This window comes from Homo sapiens, chromosome 18, assembly GCF_000001405.40.
Source record: "Homo sapiens chromosome 18, GRCh38.p14 Primary Assembly".
NCBI lineage: Eukaryota > Metazoa > Chordata > Mammalia > Primates > Hominidae > Homo > Homo sapiens.
The window spans coordinates 32344681-32370374 of NC_000018.10; the positions used below are offsets into that span (position 1 = coordinate 32344681).

Consider the following 25694-nt stretch of genomic DNA (forward strand, 5'->3'; position numbering starts at 1 on the left):
GTCGAATGATAAAACATATGTATGTATTTATATAAAATTTGTAATAATGAAGTGTCAGGTCAGAAAGCTGATGAATAGTCTCCAATAAAACAGTCTGTAGGCCGGGCACGGTGGCTCACGCCTATAATCCCAGCACTTCAGGAGGCCAAGGCGGGCAGAACACAAGGTCAGGAGTTTGAGACCAGCCTGGCCAATATGGTGAAACCCTGTCTCTACTAAAAATACAAAAAAATTAGCCAGGCATGGTGGCGCATGCCTGTAATCCCAGCTACTCAGGAAGCTGAGGGAGGAGAATTGCTTGAACCAGGGAGGCGGAGGTTGCAGTAAGCCGAGATTGTGCCACGGCACTCCAGCCTGGGCGAAAGAGCAAGACTCAGTCTCGAAAAAAACAAAAACAAAAACCAAAAACCAAACAACAACAACAACAAAAAACAGTCTGCAGTCTATAAGTAAATCAGACAAGTAAAATGTATGAGCAAATCAAATACAGGCATAGTACAGTTAGCTCTCAATTCTCCAAAGGATAGACTAATCATAAAGATTTCATTCATGAAATGGTTAAAACAACTACAAACTAGTGACATATCTATGTACTAGAAAGACCACTGTTAGGAAACCAGTATTACCAATATAGCACAGGGAGTCTTCTCCAATCATATTTCATTTTTGAAATATAATTACATTTTTGAAATCTAAACCCAAACTAAAATTTGGCAAAAAATTTTAATTGACAGAAACATCATTCAATGATAAACTACGAGAACAAAACCTTATGATATAAATTAGATAAAGATCAAATTAATTCCATTTGAACCTGCACCAAGTTCTTCAAGTAGAGTAAAAAAATAGGAAAACTTTAAAGAAGTCCTCTCTCTACAACCTTGATAAGGCAATGATAATTTGGTTAAGTTGGCAATAAGCAAAGAAAATGCCAGTTTCTGGTCAAATCTGCCCAAACAAGCAAATGCTTATTTGACTCTTAGAATGAAAAGCAACTGATGAATTTCTGGCTGGGATTCACATCGCTAAGCTGATGAAAGCGACATTGGGGCAACTTGACCTGGATCTGAGAACTGGGTGATAATGGCACTGTTGAAATGGGTGGTCAGAAAAAGGGTCCAGCTGGTCAAAAGCAGATTACTGATGGTGCAGCAGTTAATCATCTTGACGGTCTAAACAGTAAATATGCTTTCTATTAAGGTGATATTAAGTTTATTTTATATCACACTTTGGGCTGGTTTTAACTTTTTATCATTAACTATCGTAAGGTGAATTTTAAGACAATTAAGAATAAAAAGACGAGCTAAGGTCTAGAATTTCTTTTTTTTTCAGTTTCAAGTTCTCCACTAAACTCAGTCTTAACTACTTGAATATATCACGTATAGTTACTTTACAACATGTGTCTGAAAACTTCATAATTTGGCTCCTTTGTGGTCTGTTTTTATTGCCTGTTGCTTTATTTTTTATAAAATAATCATTTTATCTTGTCTCTTCACATGTCTGGTTATTTAAGATAGAATACATTTCCCATGTAAATTGCCATGTTTATCAAAAGTTGACAAGATCAACATCAACATATTGCTTCATTATAAACATAACTGAAAAAGGCAAAAATCAAGCAAATTTATAATTTTAAATGTAATAAATACAAATATTTCAAGATACTCTCACATAAAATAAAATTATTGACCAATATAAACTACCATTACAATTGGACCATCATTTTATGGGAATTTCCTTAAGTGTTTAGCAAATGTTTCATCAATATAAAGTGAATCCTCTTATAAAGCAATAGATATTATTATAGGTAAACTGTTATTTTAAAAAGGTGACCAAGCATGGGTTCGATGATTGGTTTGTTTCACACCACATAGAAAATAAAATTCCAATACAACCAAAGGATTTGGGCTCTCCTTCAGGGTAGGAGAACAAATGGTTTACTGTTCTGCTTATGTTTTTATGCATTAATGTTATGGGAATCAGAAAAACAACTGAATTACTACTCCTAGTTGTGTCAGACATTGAAAGGGAAGCAGTGCAGAATCACTGGATTTTGGAGAACTTAAGAGAGAATCTGATTCAAAAACTTTTAATAAGGTTCCAAAACACAAACCTAACGTTGAAAGAATGTTTACAAAGTAGAGTTGAACTGCAGGGGAGAACAGGCCTTGCAGACAGCTACTGATCTGAAAAGAACTTCCTACAAAAGGGAAAGAGGCCGGTCACCAGGGCTGAAGAGGAGAGAGGAGACGCTGTGTCGGCACCAACTCAGTGCAATTCACTCTTCAGTCTCTGCTTTGTTCACACTACATTTCTGTTTGGAAACAGAATTTGGAGAAGTCTGAATATAAACTTTCCCCAAGACAGCCAGGTTTGGGGCCTTTAATTTATGGAAATATGCATACACTGTGTCCTCAAATGCTAGCTGTGTGCATACAACAAAAAAGGAAGTGACTTTTAAGATAGTTAAGGATAAAAAAGAAATACTTGAGAGAATAAAAGATTAAAGTCTTAGTAACAATACCATTATAAAAACAAGGCCTGGCATGGCGCTCATGTCTGTAATCCCATCACTCTGGAAGCCTGAAGTGAAAGGATCACTTGAGCCAGGAGTTCGAGACCAGCCTGGGCAACAAAGTGAGACCGTGTCTCAAAATAATAATAATAAAAATTATAAATAAAAACAAAAGAAAACTAAGTGCACCTCTAGTCTATGGAAAGCACTGCTCTGCAGCAAAGGAAATAAATCTCATGTCCTGGTTGAGGGAGGACCCTCTAATACTCTAGTTGGCTGCTTGGGAACAAAGGAAGAAACTGGAGTTCATATTGGAAAATAAGGAGAGAAAAGAAATCTTAAATAGCACTAAATTTAGAAAAACAGTCTTTTCAAAGGCGAACTGAGGGAACTTTCCTAAAGCAAACTGGGTCAATTAGGAAATATTTCTTGGAGAAATGCCTTAAGATGCACACAACAACTTAAACTCAAAACTACAGAAAGACTAAAGCAATGTCAATTAACAAAACATTTACTTATTTTATACAATGCATAAAAGTGGGACAAATAGTATATCAGAGTTTATAAGACAGTTCTTATCCATATAGAGACAATGGTAATATCAAAAACAGTACAACTGTGGCTTAGTAGACCATCTTGTATATCCTTTCATGCCAGGTAACCATTTCACTCGTGTGTCAGGTCCTTTTCTCGCTGGAAATTCACTCTTGAAATTCTAGAGAATGTGATGAAGAGTTCAAAAATGGGAATGAAACACTGGTTGAGGCCTCCTTGCTAATTTGAAAACTACTTTTGGAATCTGCAATTATTTCTTAAAATAGAGATTTAAAAATCTCTGTATTCAAACTAGATTTTAATTTGCCTAGTTTAAACTTGTTTTGAAACTTCTATAAAAAGCCGCAAGGGAATGCTCTAAAAATTATCAAAAGGATACATTTGCCATAGAGCAATGCTAGGAGGATTAAACATAAAATTCACAATGATTTGAGTTTATGAATTGGAATTCAGCAAGTCATTACGCCACTCAATGAGAACAAAGGACAGAGGACCAGGGTTTTGCCTATGATTAACAATACTTAGTGTTTTGGCTGGCACCCATCTCAAGTTCTATTATTTTGAGTGAATCAAAACTTGGTGATTAAAAGAAAACTGTAGCTCACATTATTATTATAAGAGAAATGAAAAGTAGGCAATATTCAACATCAGCCTAGAAAGTCAAACAAAGCCCACTTTAAAATTAAGTCAAGGCTGGGCGTGGTGGCTCACACCTGTAATCCCAGCACTTTGGGAGGCTGAAGTGGGCAGATCACTTGAGGCCAGGAGTTCGAGACCAGCCTGGCCAACATGGTGAAACGCCATCTCTACTAAAAATACGAAAATTAGCTGGGCGTGGTGGTGCGTGCTTGTAATTCCAGCTACTGAGGAGGCTGAGGCAGGAGAATCGTTTGAACCTGGGAGGCAGACGTTTCAGTGAGCAAGATCGTGCCACTGCACTCCAGCCTGAGTGACTGAGTGAATGAGACTCCATCTCTAAATAAATAAATAAATCAAGAAAATTCCCCCTTTCTTTCCTTGTAAAGATGTAATTTGCCAACTCAAGTTGAGAGGATATTAAAAAATCAAATATGTTTATAATATAAATAATTATGTACTGATATTTTGTTTCTTAGGTTAATTAGGTCATCAATGTGCAACTACTATAATAAATCCATATAAACACATCCATATTTGTTGGGCATTTACAAAGAATTCTGAGGACTAATATATTTCACAGAATTTATCTTATTTAGTCCAATTTTCTGAACATGTAGTTAAAACTATCCAGAATCATTCAGTTATCCAAGACTTACCTGTAAAATTATAGTCAGACTATATGATTTTCAAGGATCATTTCAGAAATAAAATTCTGCACAGTATTGAATTACATGGGATAACTAGATCAAATGCAGCAGATATAAAATAGAACAGGTTTTATTTTAAACCTTTGTTCTACAAAAATCCATAAAATTGGGCTTCAACACATTTTAAATGTTAGAAGGACTGAACTCTTCATGGCCCTCTGAACTTCTGTATAAATGAGATGTCCATTAAATTTACCAGGACAAGGTATACACAAAGTTCAACTACTCCCTTCAATCATAGCCATCTCTCTAAATAAGTTTCAAAAACCGTCTGGATTTTCTAATATTTATGGCTTACAGGCTCAAATCATTTATTAAATAATTAGATACAATGATGTATATCATAGTGGTTTCCAATCAGCTAGCCAAGAATCAAGAAATAATACAAGGTATCAGAATTCATCTGATAAGTTCCATCTCCTACACAGAGGTATTACTTCCCCCAAAATAGGTAGATGTCATTGTTATTTGTGAAAAGGAAATTTAAAAAATCAATGAAACATCATAAATTATAAATATAGATATAAAATAAATACTTGCTAAATGAGAGAATACTATTAATAAAATTCCAATTTGTTAAACTAGCAAATCTGACTGGTTTCACCAACTGATAAACTTTTGGTCATTCTGTATTTAATCGACAAATACAAAATGTATCGTGTGGGCTTGTAAACTGTCAAGCTGTTAAAAATGGATCCCTGATTCTGAAAAGGTAGCACATGAAGGGCAAGTACTGAAAACAAGGCATGCTTTTTAAATCCAATCCTGAAACTTCAGTGAGCTCTAAAAGGACATTTGCTCGAGTCCAGGGAATGTGGAACACAGCATGAGAAATGTGAACATTCTTGGTAAACTGACATCATCATGACAACTCTGGCAGGGCTCCAAGTGTCTGAAGCAGAACGAAGTCTTGTTTATGAAGTGGGAGAAAGAAACTTGGGCTTTCTGATTTACACCTTGGCAGGAAGCAGAAATGGTTAAAAGAAAAGGAACACTTTTTATATACAGTAACTGGCAATTTTCAGTGAAGAAATGGGAAGAAGAGAAAAGAAAGCTATTTGAAAAGTTGAAAACTGCCCCCCTTTTTTTCCAGAATGAGTCATTCAGAGGCTCTCTCCTCTCTAAATATATATACACATGGAGACATGTTTTTAAAAGTCTATTTATGAAAGTAATATAACCACTTTATAGTTTGGAAAATAAGAAATAAATCACCTCTAACAGTTCAACCTTAATACAACTACTATTACAATGCACTGATTAGATTTTTTGTTGGTTTCTTAAAATTATTTAATGTATCCAACTGAAGGATTTTTGGCTAATATTAGTATACTCTTGCCTCAATTTCTTTAAAAATAGAGTCAGGGTCTCTCAACACATTAAATAGAGATCCAAAGGCATTTAAGTTAGGTAGAAGGAAGGATAAACATTTCTACTCAAACTTATGATATTTCTGACTATATATGTGATCTGATATTGCTTCAGACTAAAAACAAGACCCCTTCTCTCTAGGATATTTGAAAACAGCATTTCAATGCAATTTTAAAAACAGCTGTACATGCCAAGTAAACTCTTGAAGGTTACGAATCACTTTAAAATTCTTAAAGTGTGTCCATTATTTAGCAAACAATAAATTGTTTTCATTTCTACTGTAGAAACAAACAACCAAGTGATGGCCTTCTGGTTTCAAAGTATACATGAAACCCAACTGGTCAAGCTTTTACATTTCTGGTCCACCATTAAGTTTTATGGCATATCAGGAATGTAAAGCATGATGTTTAAACAAAATTTCAATTTATTAGACAAATTCCTACTTTTGATAAATACAGTATGTTTTTAAATGGTATGCCCATTTTTAATTAGGAAGAGTACAAATACTGGCAAAATGTTATGTAGAAAAAGTTGACTTGAATTTTTCTAGGAACTTACTATTTCTTAGTCCTTTGGTTGAACTTCTGGTCCTTCTGATTCCTCAATTTCTAATTTTGTATGGTGTACTGGTGTATTTCCTAACATCAACTCTAAAAAGTCTAAAGTAGCCAATGATGCTATTTTGATGGAATTAGGAAGTAATTTTCATTCAATTGCGTTAAAACTAGAAATGAACACCCAGGCACCAGATGAAACACATCTGAGTGCCTTAGTCACATATCCTTTTAAATCATAATTATATGTTCACTTTCTTGGCTCTCCAATGGTTTTAAAAGGTTATCTTTAGATTTATTACTCATTAATCTGACTCAAATTTATCAGCAGAGAAGGCCTATGTAAAACTATTGATGCAAGCAGGAGAAAAATAATTACAGTTCTTGGCCCTAACTTAATTCAGATATAAACAATATATTAATAAAGGTTCAGACATTTTCCATGAAAAGCTTTAAAGTGCACATTCAAGGGCCTGTGTGAACTGAATGGGTTTCACACAGTTCAGCTAAGTTCCTGAGGACACACTTCATGTAGTTAAGTTTAACCAAGAGAAGTATGTGGATAATTACTTCTAGGATGATGCTACACACACAGTGTCCTGATAACCTGGTTAATAAATATTCTAAAAAATATACAGAAAAATGGAAAAGTAAATATCTCTCAAGCAATACCCTCTCTCTTTTTTTTTTTTTTACTTACACAGACAGAACACATCACTAAAACAATTATGTGAAAAGCCATCTTTTACACAGCATGACTTGATACCAAGGTTTAGGCCTGACCGGCTACCCTACTTTCAAATTCTCAGCATATTCTTTGAAAAGAATTATTAGTTTCCATGCCATAGAGAAATGCCTGTGTAAAGTAATTTTTTCTTCAGCATAGGTACACAACTGTTGATAGATATAAGGAATTACATGAATCTGAAAGACATTTTTGGTACAAATGTCCCAATTTAAATGAAAGAATAATAAAAATTAAAATGATTACAAAGTACTTTTAGAGCCAAAAATTCTCAGTGTTAAAACAAACCAAACATCCTTTCTTTCTCTTCACCTCCAAACCCAAACAAAGGCATTCTGAGCCACTACAGGATACACCATTATCAGAAAACAGGCAGCCACCCATTTACAAACATATGGTATTCCAAAAGTTCATTTATTAGTCAGTTCTGCAAAATTTTAATATTTTCCCAGGGAAACAAGAATAAAATTTGAGGTTAAGTTGTCAGATCAGCCCACAAAACTGGATTTAAAACACAGTACTAAGACAAGGCCAGGAGTAACTCAGAACACTGGGGAAAATGCATCCCGTGGCCAGCGACACCTGGGGCGGCAAGAGCATCCTGCCTCGCTGGCCTGAGCAGGGAATCCTGTTCCTTTCATTGTAAGCTCAGAATCTTTTCACAGTCACTCCTGGGGATTTGTGGGGTGTGGATGCCATGAGAGGGGATGGAGAGTAGCCTATAAGAGGGCCACAGTTTTGGGAGGTGAGGGACAGAGCCAAGGGCTTGGGGATGACAAATGAAACGGGAACTTGGGAGGAGGTGGATGAGGGTAATGAATTGAGATAAAGTGGAACAGAAAGAGGGGACAGGGGGTTTAGGGTAGGCCAGTGAGGACTTTTCCCTCATTTCTCTGATTTACCTTTTCTTTCCTCAGGACCAGATTAAGAAGATCACAGCTGGGAACACCTGTGATCACACCTGTGAAGACCACACCTGTGATTATGAGAGAAGGAAAGAATCTCCATGGAAGAAGGGTTTAAGGAGGATGGGGCTAGAGGGGAGAGAATTCTGGGCTGATTCAGAGTCTGTAGAAGAGGAAACTCCCCAGCTGTGGCCATGGGACAGAGGAGTTCTCAATGCCTCCCTTCTAGAACTAGTACTAATATGGAAGTGGCATAAACAGATAACACAACAGACATAAAATATAAACAACAAAGGAGTCAATTTTTTATTAATGAGAGGCCAACTCATACAATCTTTCAATTACAAATTTCCATACCCTGATTACATGGTTAGCAGACTGAATTTTTAGATAAGTCAGACGTTAACAGATAAGTAAGTTATGTGATTTTCTATTTAGAATGAGAACCTATATCTTTTATCACTGACCTTAGTCCATTTTTGTTACATTAATATTTTTAAATGTCCACACATAAAGAAATGTACAAAAGTTCTAATCAGACGATAACAAAGTCAGAAACATATTTTTCAACAAATATCTTTTGAGGGCATATTGTGGGCCATGTGTTTTCTGAGCATAGGGGACACAGTAGTATGGCCTCCAAGTTCTCGATCCTACTTTTATTTCTTAGCAACAATACTTCCATCTGAACAAGGCAGCTACTCAATGTCTAGCTGGCCTCTCAGACCACTGTTTACTTACCTAATAGCTATTTTGTTAATGTACAGCCAGCTTTTAACCTTAGCCCAACTATAAGGGTTAAAATAATTTGTCACACTTTTATAAGTCCTCAAGTAACTGGCCTAAAGTATTGAATTTCTTGCTTTAACTATAATAGGGCCTTCTTTACCTATGGGCTTTGACTTCTGAGTTACATTAGGTAAAAGTACATTAAAAATAACTTAAAGTTTACCAACAGATGAAGAATAAGGAGACAAAGATGAGTCATAAAAGGAGAAAATGGCTAATCATTTTGACTTCATTACAATCATACCACCACTGGCAGGTGAATTCTAAGGTGTTTCATGAAATAATTCTATGCTGTTCTACAAGTATATGGAAATACTAGAAAGTTGAACCTGGGCCTTTATGATTTAGAATTGATAGAAATCTGGGGAAGACTTAATAGGAAGAAGGAGAAGAGAAGGAAGGGAAAGGAAGAGAAGGGAGAACTAAAATGCTCAAAGTCAAGAAAACAAGGTTTTGTCCTTAGATTATAAAATCTCTGAACAAGTTGATTAATTAGAAATAGATGATTACAAATAAAAGATGCCCTATTGGTATATGTTAAGAAATGAATTGATGAGTATTAGTAAAACCAAAGGAACCACAGATAACATACATAAATAATTTTGAAAATCTAAACTGACAAATTCATGAGCATTACAAGGTAGCAGCAAATATAAAAGAATACTTTAGTACCAGAGGTTGTGGTTTATCTGTTCCTCATTTATATTTTATATCATACGCAAAACAAAATTAGGAAAGGATTATGTGAAAGAAGTTCATAGCTTTTGTGTACACTTCTAAACATTAATAATAACTTAGTTTGAAAGTATGAACGCATCATACTTTCAAGATAGAGTTGCCAACTTTAAGACAACTGTATTATATAATATATTGGATTTCAGTGCCAAAAAGAGTGTCTGGCACATAGGTCAATAAATCTTTGTTACTTGACTGAATACATGTTAAGAGAAAGGGGAGATAGGCTATGGTTAGAACTGGAGTTTTCATCAGAAGAGTCCAAAATTAACTCCAAATGCCACCAGCACTCCCAGATGAGTGTTTCTTTTTCATCTATGATACAAATTTAAAATTTGAACAACACATTGAAGCTAGGAGAGAAACAAGCTACAATCCCCCTCTCTAAAACTTCTCCGCAAAAGCAAAATTGAATATTCTGATCATCCAGAATGGGCTAGAAGAGACGGCAGAGACAGTGGGGTCAACTCCCTCCACTGGCTAAACATGGCCCGGGGAGGAAAAGCGGTGTGGCTGAGGTCATGAAGCAGAGCAGTCACTGGAATTCCAGTCCTCTGATCTCCAGTGTTTCTGTTCTTTATTGACTGTTTAAATGAATGTTTTGTAAGAAACCAGAAGACACAGGCAAATAAGTGAAGAGGGAGTGTCAGAAGCAGTGACGGTATTTGCCTGATGGTAAATTTACCATGGAGACCACTGTGTCAGTGAACTCTGTTCCAGAAAATTCCATATACAAAATTATCTCTACAGGTGATGAAAAGAATAAAAATTAGAAATGAGTGAGGAGGAGAGATTAACAGCTGTGTACCTATGCCGAAGAAAAAATTACTTTTCACAGGCATTTCTCTATAGCATGGAAACTAATATTTTAATCCATCTTTTCAAAGAATGTGCTGAGAATTTGAAAGTAGGGTAGCTGGTCAGGCCTAAACTATGGTATCAAGATGGAAGAAAAAAAATTTTTTTAAAGTCTTGTGATCATTATAGATATTGAAGAACTTGTGTCTAATTATGGTATTCTTTTTCCACATCTATCTAGGAGTTTCAAAATTTTACAAATCTACATCTAATTCCTATTTAAAAAACAACTCACAAAGCAAGAGGCCTATGGTGAATAATGAAGTAATGCTGCCTAGAACCCTATCTATGGATAAATAAAATTTTATTTTGTGAAAGGTTTTTTGCATATTTGGAGTCGATGCATTTTTACACATGACTATTTTATCTAGATTTCTATTTATGATATTCATAAATTTTACTTAAGGAATCAAGAGTAGAGAGAAAAGTGGTCAAAATACTAATTTTACACTCATGTTTCAGAGCTTTATGCTCAATGTTTCATCACTAAAAAGAGTGAAACAAAAATCAGACATACTAGAAGTTTATTTCATTTTTATCTTTTTAAGTAATGACAATTAAAAATTACCAATTTCAGTCTGCTGTTTATAAATACGGGGGAACTTGGACTTTTTTCTAGTACCTTGACACCATTACATTTTATATAAATTCACAGAAAGAACAAGAGTATGTTGACAGGTGAAAAACATTCTATAAAAGAAATGGAAGATTTTTAAGCAAATGGATGTAATCAAAAGGTTATAAGCCCACCAAACCGAACTATTTAGGTCAATACAATCATTGGACAAAAAAGAATGCACAGTACAGTTGAACAGGAAAATTCCATATACAGTTATTAGAGAAGGCTTATTTTAGAAAACTAATTTATCTACAAGTGTTCTTGGTTGCTATGAGCAACATTTTTCAACCACATTCTATTGCCTAAATCAGGTCACGATTACCTCCTAAATGGACTTTGCCATTCTAGAGAAGCAGTTTTTCTTTCATTCAGGATTTCTAAGGAAACAGCTTTCATCTTAGGCAACTAAACATCTGGCTTCTTGGTTTGTTTTAAGGAGCAAAATGAGAAAGGAATGAATCACCATGAAGCAGGTCAGGTTAGCATTTTTTTCCCATTTCTAAAAAAGTTAAAGTCTCCAAAAACTTTTCCTTGAGAAAATGAGTAATTCAAAATGCACTGATAATTATATACCAGGAATATTTGAATATGTCTAATGACCAGTCACTCCATGTTTGTTTTCTGAACTCTTACATACAACTCCACAAAGTAAAAACACCCAGGAGGAAAAGGAGTGAAATTATTCACATTTTACTGCTATGCTTTTTGACTTTCGCTATCACAAAGACAAACAAATATCATTTTTTAGCTCCTCTCTTTGATTCTTAGAACAAATTCTTTGATATATCCCTCTCCTATTTAATGACCCAATAGGTTAATTATTTATTATTCTGCTCCTCTGTCCATTAACACCTGTTTAATGTCCTAAATACATAATAATAACAAACTCAACAACTACTACTCCCATCACTATCATATATTGAAAACTTATTAGATGTCAGATACTGTACAAGTGTCTTATATATCATATATCCTTCAATCTCCCCTATGACATATGGTATTATCACACCAATTTTACAAGGTAGAAATCTGAGACTCAGTGGAATTAAGTCATTTGTCCCAGGCCACACAATGAACAAGAGAAATGGGATTCAAATCCACCTTAATCTGACAAATCCAAAAACCTTCAGTAAGTGTGAAAACTGTCTCCTAGGAGGACCATCATTATGATGATATTTGAAGATCCAGGACTTCAAGTTCTGCTGTTTAACCGCCACCCTCCACCCCCAACCATGGCAATCAATGGCTTTCCATTGTATGTATAATTTTAAAATGAAAATCCCTAATGGAGGTTTTGGTCCTAGCTTCTCTGGCCCCACAGCCTTCGTAGCACAATCCCGTGCTACTCTGCCCCTTCCTTTCTGAGAGTAGGGACACAGAGGCTCTCTGGATTCCTTTCGTACAAAGAACTTGTTCTTGTTTCATATCCTTCACACACTCCGTTCCCTGTACTTGCAATACTACCTCCTTACTTGTTACTCAGGTTTCGGCTTACAAGTCATTCCGCAAAAAGGTTTGCCTTGGCCAGGCACAGCGGTTCATGCCTGTAATCCCAACACTCTGGGAGGCCGAAGCAGGAGGATCACTTGAGCCCAGGAGTTCAAGACCAGCATGGGCAACACAGCGAGACCCTGTCTCAATTAAAAATAAATAAATTTTTTAAAAAAGGTTTGCCTGAACTCAACCTCAAGTAGCTTCTCCTTTTAAACTCTCAAGACACCTGGAACTTTTCACGTGCTACCTTTATCTCAATGTGCAAGTGCTTAGCCTCTCACTCTCTCTGGACCGTGAGCTCTCCAATGACAGAGACACTTGATTTGTGTTCAGCCCTCTATCTCTGCTGTCTAGCACAGTGATGGGCACAGGACCCGAAGGGATAGCAAAAGCCATTACAGACTGGGAAGAAGGAAGGCTCTGATTGTTGCATCAGCTCTTCCTAGCACTCCCAGGCATGCCTGAGTTAATGTTACTTGCATTGGAGCTTTCATCCTTTATAAAACTGTTTTATCCTTTATAAACTTTCATCCTTTATAAAACTGTTTTATCCAAAATGCAAAACAGGAAAAGAAAAAATTTTATCTAAGACAAATGCTTCCTTATACTAAACATAGCTATACAGCTATCTCTGGAACACTGCAATTATAAATAATTGTAATGAATAAATAAGTTATAACTATAAATAACTTAAGAAAAACAGCAGAACACACATACCCGAATTAGTGGTGCCTTGAATTCTATTACATCATGTGGGCAGGGGGCTGTGCAATGACTACTCATACACTATTGTTACTCTAGATATTTCTAAGGTTCCTCTTTGGTAACTGCCTTTAAAATTACTTTACTAACCAAACAAGAAAACCTGCCTCCTCACTTCAGGGTGACAAGCTATTACCCCTTAGTTAGCACCGTCTATCCCCTCCCTCTCTCTATGTGACTTACTCAGCTGAGCCCACCCCCCACCCCGAGTAAGCTTCAATGACATCCCACCCCACACGGAGGCTTTCACAGGGGACCCTTTCGGAGAGCACACCCGGCTTGTGTGCTTCCCATGACGCCTTCCCCATCTCACAGGTGGGACTCCCAGTCTGCCATGCAGTGACCAATGAGATATGCCCCCTGCAGGGGAAGGGAACTGCCTGCAGGGGACATAGCTCATTACAGGAGGTCAAGTGAGGGCTTCAGGTTGTCAAAAGGGGCCAGATTTTAGTTCTCTCTGTGTACTCATTCACCGGGGTCTCCTCACACCTCAGGGCCACCACAGACTTCCCAATCTGGACAACGATCTAAGCTTCTTCCTCTCCCCCAAAAGGGTGCTGCAAGCTTAGCTCTCCACTTCTCTGTTGTGAAGTATTGATATTCTTTCCTGTGAAAACCATTTCCCTCAGTACATAATTAATTAGAATTAAAAATAACCTTTTCCCACACCAAATGTCTTCCTTAAAAGGACACAGAATTAACCCATAGAAGCCACCGTAACAACTTTCTACGGTATCATGCAATACATGACTTCCAAATTCCCTCGTGAGGGAATGTCGGTTTACGTCAATCCTGGTGGCCTTATCAATATGTGAGTGGTGAAAACAGCAGGCCACTAGGAGGTCAGGGTCAAAGGAAGTAGTAGCAACCTCACTCAGGCTAGAATCCAAACAATGTATCTATTAGAAGCAGGCCTGGCTACATAATTTGCAGGGTTCTGTGCAAAACGAAAACGTGGGTTCTCTCTTGTGCCTAAATTATTAAGAATTTCAAAACGGCGACAGCAGAGTATTAAACCAAGTGCTGGGTCCTGTTCACTGCACGGGATGCTCACCTGTGAACCCACACCTCACTGGAAGAACCCGTCAGCCATCCTCAGCTGTGCAGTTTACAACTCTCATACTGTGATATTTGTGTGCCATTTCAAAACTGTATGTGGTAGGTTTTGAAAAAAGCAAAAAACTATGCTGCCTGCTTTAGTTTTAAGTCAAACTAAAATATGCCCATGGTTTTAATAATCAGATGGTATTAAAAGGCTTATAATTAATAAAAGAAAACCAGCAGCCCATGCCCCATACCTCCCACCTGATTCCTTCTCCCTAGAGGTGTGTATTTCTAACTCTTGGAGCAGTTTCTGTTGATACTTGTCTCCATGTTTCTAAATATGAATGACTTGTATATCTTATCTACTGATTTTCCATTATGTAGGAAGCTTATCACACCGCATATACTCACACTCCACATTCTCCCTCCCCGATCCTCCCAATTTGGCCTATCACAGTTTGGGGATTATAATAAAAATTCAGTTTATACTATACAGTTCACAGTGGAGCCAAATGGATTATATATCCTTTCCTGTGCAATGCCCCCACTCCCCAGCCTGGGGTGAGTAACTGCCTTACTTTTACAGTTGCTTTGTTTTTAACGTAACTATCACAAATTCTTGTTAATCCAAAGCATAAAACCTGTCTCAATATGGTTGAGGACATCATGTGATCTATCAGTTTTCTCTTTTATAAAAAAAAAGATCCTTGCTAGCACTTTGGGGGGCTGAGGCGAGAGGAACAACTGAGACCAGCCTGTGCAACTTAGCAAGAGTTTGTCTCTACAAAAAGTTTTTTTAAAAAATTAGCTGGATGTGGTGGTACATGCCTGTAGTCCCAGTTACATGGGAGGCTGAGGACAGAGGATGGCTGGAGCCCAGCAGTTTGAGGCTGCAGTGAGCTGTGATTGCACCACCACACTCCAGCCTGGGCAACCAAGTAAGAACCTGTCTCTTAAATATAAATAAATAAATAAATAAATAAAAAATTGAATAAATAAAAAGAATCACCTCTATCTATACAATGTACAAAATGATCGCCTCTATTCCTTTTCTGGGACATCTATTACTTAAATGTTGATCCTCATGGAGACATTCTCTAATTTGTTTTCTTCCTTTCCTATCTTACCTTTTCTCCTTTTGAAAATTTTGACTTTCTGGGAAAGTTCCTCCCCTTCAGCCATCCAATCATTCTGGATTTATTTCTGCAATTTTTAGTTTCCAGCTGCTTCTTAAAGAAAAAAAAAATCCTGTTTAAAAAATATATATATATATCCTCTATTCTCTGATCCCTTTCAAGCAATTAAGGAACTTTTTTTCTGGTTCCTATATGGTATTTCTTCCAAGATTCTTCTTTTCTGGTTTGTGGTTTGTTCCTAACTGTCATATCATGGACATTCCTCACAAGTCTGAGGCCGCTTGGTTGCCAGTTCTCATTTAAGAGGAAAACACTAAAATTCAGATGGAAGTTTCAGGTGCATGAAAGGGGCTTGTTGACTGGTTAATTTCACTGCAACGTGGTCACCTGGGAAGCCTACTGGCCTACTGGTTTATTAGAGGACCCTCAAATGTTGTATCTACAGATCTTTTTTGGGGGGGTGGGGAGCATTTTTCCAAAAAGGAATCCTCCTGCCTATAGGAGTTATGCCTGGCCAGCAAACACCCCAAAACCAAGTGGCTTTGGGGGTTTTGACTTTCACAGGACTCTTGTTTTTAATACTGGCATGTCATCCTCACTATAGCTCCATTCTGTTGAAAACTGATTAAATTAGGTTTGAAATTTCCATAACTTATTCCAGAGATTTGTTAATATCTTTCATTTTCTGCGATCTCACTCTCCTGTCTGTTAAGAGTCTGTACCCTATTTGTTCTTCACTTCATGTTCCTTTGTTTTGGGAGAGAACAAGTATTAAACACCTGTGCTCAAGTTGCACATTTAATCAGCATTCTCCCTTTGCCTCAGACGTTAAAAACACTCTTCATGATGCAACATTTCCAGTTATGTCAAAATATTCTCCTACTTAATACTCTTTTTAGAAATAATAAAATTCTCAAAAATGATAGACTTGATTTTTTATCTCATTGTTAGATTTTGCCATGCAACCACATGAAAACGAAGCACAGTTTTGTCAGGTCTTAGGCAGGTAGGTGGTTTTTCTTTCTTCCCTGACATCACTGTCGTTGCCTACATTGCCTCACACAGTTCATAAGTAGATTATCTGCCTTGGGGATCACCTACAGATAATCCTGAAATCTTGGATTGGCTCCTTACTTCTGATCCCACCATAACCACACACACCTGGCCTACTTCCTCATTCACTTTTTGTTGGCATGAGCCTTTTAAAGATCTTGACTATTTTCTAATGTTAGAGCCAGGCAAGTATGGTGAGGAAGGCAAATCTGTTGCAAAAAAACAAAATAAAACAAAATCCAAAATTAAATGAAAATATTTTTGGATATTTGTTTTGCCTCAATGAAATTAAGAATATATTACTTCTGAACAACTGGATCTTATTAACAATTTAATAATATAATTAACCACAAATTCATCTGGTGCAGAGGCGAACTCTCTTCAAGTTTTGATTTTACACAGAGAATTAGTTTCAAACAAAAGTGTTTGGAAATTTGACATTCCTCCCTCTGCAAAACTAACAGGAAATGAAATTAAGACATTTTAGGAAAGATTTTGACATCAGTATTTTATAATTTCCCAATATCCTGTTTAAGCCAATTATTTTAGAAAAATTTGTAAACTGTTTCTATTTCCTCATAGAGTTTATAAAATGTACGATGTTTACCTTACATTAAATCAACATCAAGAGGGTTAAACTGACAGGTAGAATGATAGAATGGAATTTCTCTCCTTTGAATCCATTCATTCAATCCTTTTTTTGGAGACATATGTACCAGGTTAAAAATTTAAATGATGAATACAGTACATATCTTTACATGAGTGTGTATTTCCATTTTAAGTGTATGAATTACACTTGAAAAATGACTCTTTTCAAGCAATGTTACAAAAATCAAAGTTTATAAACCATTTCTGCCACCTCCAATAGCAACTAAAAACTATCATGCTTGGCCTGGCAAGAAGGATGGGAAGCCACAGAGGAACAATGATGAGACATGGAAATCCCCAATTTGTGGCCCGCACTGCTATGCTCTTCACCATCTCCCATACCAGATGTTCTAGCTCCAAGGATTCTGATTCCAGGGGAGACTCCTGTTCACTCATCTTTCTCATCAGTCTTCACGATTCACAGTTTCTTTCCATTCATGTACATTTATCTTTATGGTACCCAAATGATGTATCTCTCTGGAACAAGTCACTTTCTAGAATAATACCTTTCCTTGTCTTTTGTAAAGACCTTTATGAGACTTTTTGTGGGTTAATGATCTAATTCCTACTGTATTCCTAAATTAGATGCACTTTAAACTACAAATAATATTTGAAATTACATATTTTCCTTCGGTTGTTAAATATATGTAGCCGGTCAATAATAAACAACTGCAATGTGTGATTTTGTTTTCTATATATCAGTTTTAAAGGCAAATTACAGAAAAGAGAGAGAAGTTCCTGGGAACCATGAAAACCTCAATTATGAAATGACTAAAAGATAAATTTATATGGTTTAACCAAATGATGACTAAGCTGGTGTTTACTGGGATAAAACCCCTAATATTTTGCAAGACATCAGAGATCACCTAACCATCCACTTATGCTTCAACCTGCCCTTCCAGTTTCAGTTGCAATACAGCAAATTTCAAGATATTGTAACTATCATAACAAGACGTGGATACTAATGAGGAAAGGAGAGATGTTTATCAGCCATGTTTGCATTTGAAAAACAGTAGTATCCCACTAATTATGTGCTTACTCATTTGTGTACTTCTTTGCAAAACTGTAAATTTGCATCTACGTTGAATCATTTTATACCAACTAGCAAAGGCTGCTCTTCCAAGGAATCCTATGGCAAATATGTCAAGTATATAATTTAATTTATATACCTTTATATCCGAATTCATTCATCAAGTTTGCTTAAATTGGGGTAAACTAAAATTGTAGCTTGTAAGTATTCAGCCATGGCAATAAGTTATATAAGGGGTTTAGTTTTGAATCCAAATTGATGGGCCTGAAACAAATATTCCTGAAAAACTGGATATACCAAAGTTTCCCTAGCGAATGTTACAGAAGTATACCAATGTTTCTTATGAGAAAAAAATATTTTTCTGTCTCAAGGCAAAAAAAAAAAAATCTTACTTAAGAACACAGTACACCTTTAAAACATGAATTATTTTAAGCAAATTAAAAACAACTGCCTAGCCATTAATTGTAATTGTAGTCCATGGTTCCATTCCTTTGCAAATGTAAATGTTACCTTGGACATTACTTTTAACACTGTTTTTTAATAAAATAAATATGCTGTCATAATTGTATAGTTAACTATCCTGCTTAAATTCTTGATGATATCTATAAATTATTTATAGTAGGTAAAACTAAAATAGATACAATTTCTTTTGCATTTCCCTGATTCAATAAGATTTTTGAATCTTGGTGAAAAATCCTTTTTGAACCGGGCACTGAAGGCTTAGGTCTCTGTCTTCACCCCTAACTAAATCAGGTTTTAGTAAAAGATCTGAAAATTCTGCAAATTTTCAAAAGCAAATGTTAGATTAGAAAACGTTTAATGAGTTAAATCAATCCCCTTTCTCCCTGTTACAGGAACACTGGAACACTGTGAACTTTTTGAGACAAAGCCTTACAGCTTATGATTTTCAGTCATCAACATGTAAAAGGAAAGGTTATTTTGAAGAGGCTCAAGGTAATCTTCCTACAACTTTTTGAAATGTCACAGGAGAAAACCTTGCCACAGCTGACTTTAAGGCTTATTTTGGCAAAGGTTATCTTTCATCATATTTTGGTCAAGGTTATACACACACACACACATAAAAAAATATATATACACATACAAATGTATAATTATAAATACATATACATACACAAATACATAAATACATATATACATATATATATATATATATATATATATATATATGTTTTTTTTTTTTTTTTTTTTTTGTGAGACACAGCCTCACTCTGTCGCCCAGGCTGGAGTGCAGTGGTGCGATCTCAGCTCACTGCAACCTCCACCTCCCAGATTCATGCGATTCTCCTGCCTCAGCCTCCTCAGTAGCTGGGATTACAGGAACCCACCACCACGCCCAGCTAATTTTTGTATTTTTAGTACAGATGGGGTTTGACCATGTTGGCCAGGCTGGTCTTGAACTCCTGGCCTCAAGTGATCTGCTTGCCTCAGCCTCCCAAAGTGCTGAGATTACAGGCATGAGCCACTACACCCGGCCAAGGTTATAATTTTAATATCTTACCTCCAAAAGTATTTACCCCTGTCTTCACCGCTCCGCCCCTACCCACACGTACACACATGCACACACACACATGCACGTGCAAGTGCGTGCATGCACACAGAGCATGTAACACAGAAACAATAAGTATGGTAGACAAGCAAAATCTAAAAGCAAGAACTATATTTATTGATTTTATAAAAGTCTGTTGTGCACAGCACACATTTACCTATGTAACAAACCTGCACAGCCTGCACATGTATCCCAGAACTTAAAATTAAATTAAATTTTTAAAAAAAGTCTGATGTGCCAGTGTTAACATATTTCTAGTGAACAAATTAAGGTTGGTAAAATATACTTATAAAATTCTCTAATCTAGCCTGTAGCATTGATGTACAGAAAAATTCTTTATGAACACAAGACACGTTAACACAGAAGCAGAAAAATGTGGAAAAAGTACACCAGAGATGAACAAAGATAATCAAATCAAAGTTTTTAAATACGAGAATGTACCATGTGCGAGGCACATATAAGAGCACAGACACACACACACACACACACACACACACAAATCAAACACTTTATGTGTATTATTTCTCCAGACTTCTCGATATATTACTTCTAAAACAAAATGAGAAAGAAACTGATCTTCAGAGTGTAAATCACAGAGTGGTGAGTGGCAAAGCAAAAACTCACACCCAAGATTGTACAAAACCTGTGCCCTTAGCCATCTACAGAATTTTTTTTTTCCTGCTAACACTATGGTGACAAGGAATTTTTTTAAATGAGCGGAGGGCTGTAAGATGGAATTGTCTTTACTCCTAGGCTTCACAAAGAACACTGGTTCAGAACAATAATTTAAAATATAACCAGAACCTTTACATATGTGGAACTAATTTAATTTTTGTTGGGAAACAATAAATATCATTCCAATATTCCACTATTTATCAATGTCAGATGTTCTATTCTGGCAATGATATTTTATTCAACAGAACAAAAAATACTAGCTCTTCATATCGTGAAATATTATCATTCCAAACCCAAGTCTACTAAAGCAACTGAAGAGATTATTTTGATTTCAAATAATCTGTTCACTATGCATACATATCAATGAGATTTCCTATAAATCCAATACTTAAGGACCCAAATATCTCACATGTAGTACAAAACTATGGATACCATAGGTAAATAACCTTTCTATACCACAATGAGGAAATGGGAAGTAGAAAAGAGGAGGAAGGGTTGGCCAAAACTCCATGGATGGTGACAATGTACTTTCTGACTTGTTCCCACTCCCACTGGCCTGTTGCACCCCACCCTAGTCTCATTTTAGGATTTGCCCTGCTTCACACTCCCACTACTTTTTCGCATCTTCCAACTCTGCCACCAGCACTTCATCAAAAGGCACTCTGGGTACTAATCCTAACTCCCTCAGGCTCATCTGAGAAGGAAAGCAACCCCATTAAAGTAATGCACAAAGTAGTATGAAACCTTTTCATTATGAGTTACACTTCTGGAGGTAATACATTTCATAAGTAAAAGTTAAATGAGGCAATTCCATGGCTAGGGGAGGATTTATAGAAGTGCAGGTGCATTTCCAGAACACCTTTAAATATTGTTTAAAGTTCTTAGTAAATCATAAAAGATCCTCCAGATCTGATTCCTGTTTATCAGTTCAGTTCCATCTCTCCATTTTCTTTCTTCAAACTGTTAGCACCAGTAGTTTCAAATGAGTAATTTTATTTCATTGAAATATACTGCTACCTCTCCCTGCCTGCCACACTTGTCTCCTCCCCTCACTCCACCCTGCCCACCTAACACACCCTAGGACCCAGCAGAACATCACCTTTTAGTTCCCCCAACTCTACCTAGTACCAGCTAGGAACCCCTTTCTAAACAGTCCCATAGCACCTAGTGCTTCCCTCTATAATACTACTTATTACCTTACATTGTAACAGTAAACACTTAACAGTAAACCTCATAAGCCTGCCTCCTTTCAGGCAGGCTTATGATTTCCTTGTGACCCAAAGACTAGTCCAGGGCTTCGCATAGAAGAGTCCTCAACAAATATCTGCTGCAGGAATGAATTCATAAATAAAATTAGGGCAAGGGCTACCCCAGGAGAAAGCAAGAAAGAGACTTTAAAGTATACTAAATTTTACATATTTTTATAGGAAAGGGAACCTGTATATAATAGAGAAACTTTGTTATTCATGGAGTTCCATCCATTCAAAAACCTAAAATGGCCGGTAGACTAGAAAACTGCAACAATGCACTTTTAATTATTTTCCTCATCTACTTTCACAAGACAGTCTAATGATCACATCATAATATATCAACTCTGGTTAAAATCATTAACTTAAATGGTACAGTCAGTGGGCAGTTATGCAATAAAGAGTGATTTAAATTATGTTTTGTTTCCGGCTAGCTGGGAGGTCTACATACCAAAACTGGGTTGGCAGCTCTTAGTTGTTGAGAAAGTCCTGCAAATATTCTGGAAAAACCAGTGGGTGGAATTTGGGTCCTCAGTAATACAGCTTTTATTGTCAACAGGTGAAATGTAAGCTTGAAAAACCAAGTATCATGATATTAGGGTCACACACTTAACAGTGAACACCCTGTCAAAAAGTACTCTGAATAATCTCTCCTAAGCTCTTTCCTAATCCCACAGCCCTCTAGCAGTGCTCATGTCTTTAATATTTAACCTTATACTTCAGATCTTCAAATTTATTCATGTCAAACAACAAAACCACACAACATAAAAACAGGACACTGTACTCTCTTTTAAAATATATCTATATAAATCCTTTCATTTTCTGCAAAGCCCAAGAAAATAGTCTCTATTTATAAAACTGATCAAGTACTATTTTCAAACAGTATTTTAAAAGAAATACCACTTACCTAATAGCAATAGTGCTTAAGGTTTACATGGGATACTGATTTCTGACTGGTTGAAGGACACTGGTTGGCAGGTATATATATGCATGTAGTAACAGCTAATATAGGTAACAGCCTGCTTTTCCTCCTCACAGAGGCAATAAACTTGTCTAAGACTAAGATTATATACTGAGTCTAAGACTCAGACAAAGCCTCTTCTTCTCCTAAGATATTTAGTTTTATAGATTTATATAGCATCTAGGAAAAATCCAAACTCCATTGATTTATAGAAGATATGCTCCTTTGAGAAATTTCTCATACTTCATTCACCCAGTTTTGAGGTTACCTCCCTTACAAAACAAATACGAGAAGAGCAATCTCTCAGGTCTTCACTGCCAAAGTCCAAATTTTATTTTTTATTTTGTTTTATTGATTGGGCATTTCCAAACTGGCCACTCGCTTAGGTTTTAGGGATACAAGGATGGCAGACACGGTTCAGTCCCAATTCTAAGCAAGCCAGGGAGACACATACGAACCATGATGACCATACAAAGCAACAGGGAGATAAGGAGGAGAAGCCAAGCACCTTCACAGGAGGGATGGCTGTCTGCCTACGGGAGCCAGGTGAGATTTCACATAGGAGGTGGCTTTGAGTCTGGAGCTTGAGGGATGGGCAGGGAGAAGGGCGTTCCTGAGACAAGGCAGAGTCAAAGAAGACCATGAAATGTTTGAGACGTTCACTCCTAAACTAAGATCCTCAGGCAAATACATCTATTCACTTTTCTCTAAACATCTCCAGTACATTCCTATCCGTGCTTACCCCCCTTTCTTTTATCTCCCCCTCCCTTTAACATGCTTAAATCCAGGATGCCTTTTTAGGCCCAGCTCAAGCCAGGCCTTGATCTCCCAAGAAGCCCTGGCAGCTTTCGTTCCCTCCTCCCCTCCAAAACTCACTCCTACAGTTCTCATGGTATTCCTCAATAGATTCAGGCACTTTTGACTTATGCTGGAACTTGTCTCTAAGCTTAGGTCTCTCTGTCCTTGAGTGTAGGGCCATGTCCTGCTAGCCTCTCCCTTGTAACATCAGTGCCTGGGAAATTTCCTATGTTTTAATGAATGTCTGCTGCTAATGAGGAGCCATTGATCAGCACTGAGTCATATTATTTCACAACTTTATTGCACTTCCATGTACCTCTGGATCTTTGCATCATTTGCAAAGTGTCACAGCTCTCAAGCTACTTTCCTGGAATATCAGGCCAAAATTCTGCCTAGTAGAATTAAAAGAGAGGGTTCAAGATTTCTTCAGTTGGTAAAAACACTAGTCTCCTTTTTCTACTCTGAATCACTGCTCAACTGCCTTATTTATAACCTCTAGATGGCAGGAAGTCTATCTTTTATATATTAAAGTGTCCACAGACCCTACTGCTAAGTACCAAGTGGCAAAATTATTAATTTTAATGAATGAAATGCATCTATAGAGACCCTCTACAACCTTGCCCTACATACTTTTCTAGCTCATTCTTTCACATATTTTCTTTCTTTCTCTCTCTCACACACGCAACATGAATGTGGCTTTTCACAAACAGGCTCTGTGTTTTGATCAGAAATCTGAGAAACTTAGTTTCCTGGTAATAACACCAGTAAAATTAAACCAACAAAAGGTAATGCCTAGCACTTCAGTTTAAATATAGTGAGCCAAAAAAAAATCTGCTTTGTGAATTCAATATAAAATATAATAATTGTCCATTTAGAAGGTGAACAATTAGTCTGTATTTGATCTCAACAGTACACCTATACCACTGTTTCTAGTGAAGATCTGAACTGTCGTGGCATACAAATGCTACTTTTATCATATTGCCTTCCCCACACATAAGTTCTACAGATGACTACATTCTGGCACAAGTGCATGTTATCAGAGACATCCTGAGAGTGAGTGAGTGAAAGGCAAAGCTAATTCCAAGTGTGTATTCACATTTCAGGGCCCATATGCTGCTTTGAAAGGTGCGGAAAGGCTTTTCACATCATGAATTTGGACAATGATTCCAATTACTTCATGTCGGCATATGTCAAATAATTTTTATACGTTTTTGAGCAGAGATAGTTAGGAATTAGTCAGAGAGTATTTCTGAAGCCTGTCACTTTACCAATCTGAAACTCTTTCCTTCTAATTTCAGCACAGACAGACTTTGTTGGTAATGTCATTTGTTGGAGGTTAAAAATGTGTACATTTTATATGGTTATGTTTTATCTATATGTATGATACATGGAGATGGGTGGAGGGAGGGATTTATAAACAGATAGAATATATGGAGATGGATGGAGGGAGGGATTTACAGACTGATCAGTATCAACCCCCAGAATCTTTTAAAATAAAAGAATGACAATTTTATGGTTGCTAATAACAATACTTTTGTTGAAAACATCAAGGATTCTTTTTTTGGTGGGAGGGAAGGTCAGGTATCATTCAAGCACATTTCTTTAATTTCTTCCTGATTCCCTAAACCACATCACAGGGCATCTTGTCAATAAAGAAAGAACCACCTATACCCTTAGGCTTCTTAGCATCACTCTGACACAATCATCATCATTCTGCCATTTTCCCTCTGGATATGGATTTGTCCATATTATGTAGACAGTAATGCGCAGATGACCACAGAGGCCTGGCCTCTAGTCCTGGGTCCACTGCTAACTGTGTATGTGTCCTTCATTTTCTTCAACTGTGAGGTTTGGGGGATGAACAAGGTGACCCTTCACTTAGAGCTGTAAGCTGCTACACGCATCACCAGAAAGAACCTGAGACAAGACTCTTAAACAGGTTGTACACGAAGAAAATTACAAAAAGTTTCCACTGACTGGCAGGGTGCGGGCTACTTCATGGCAATTTTAAAGTAAATGCGGTTACATCATTCATATCAACATGCTTTAAAAAGCGTAAGGTGGGCCGGGTGCGGTGGCTCACGCCTGTAATCCCAGCACTTTGGGGGGCCGAGGCCGGCGGAACACAAGGTCAGATCGAGACCATCCTGGCCAACATAGTGAAACCCCGTCTCTACTAAAAATAAAAAAATTAGCTGGACGTGGTGGCGCACACCTGTAGTCCCAGCTACCTGGGAGGCTGAGAAAGGAGAATCACTTGAACCCAGGAAGTGGAGGTTGCAGTGAA

At 36.8% G+C, this 25694-nt stretch overlaps 1 protein-coding gene across 6 annotated transcripts in view; it reads right to left on the reverse strand.

The window, feature by feature from the left end:
* GAREM1 (GRB2 associated regulator of MAPK1 subtype 1) overlaps positions 1–25694 on the reverse strand; it is a 207361-nt gene that overhangs the window by 81159 nt on the left and 100508 nt on the right. Inside the window, exon 1 of one of the 6 annotated variants that reach the window (XM_047437740.1) lies at positions 1–19223. This exon is cut by the window's left edge and continues 13055 nt beyond it. The exons of the other annotated variants lie outside the window; for them this stretch is intronic. The gene's annotated coding sequence lies outside the window, so the exon portion shown is untranslated. Of the gene's footprint in view, positions 19224–25694 lie in introns of those variants that run through there. 6 annotated transcript variants of the gene reach the window in all.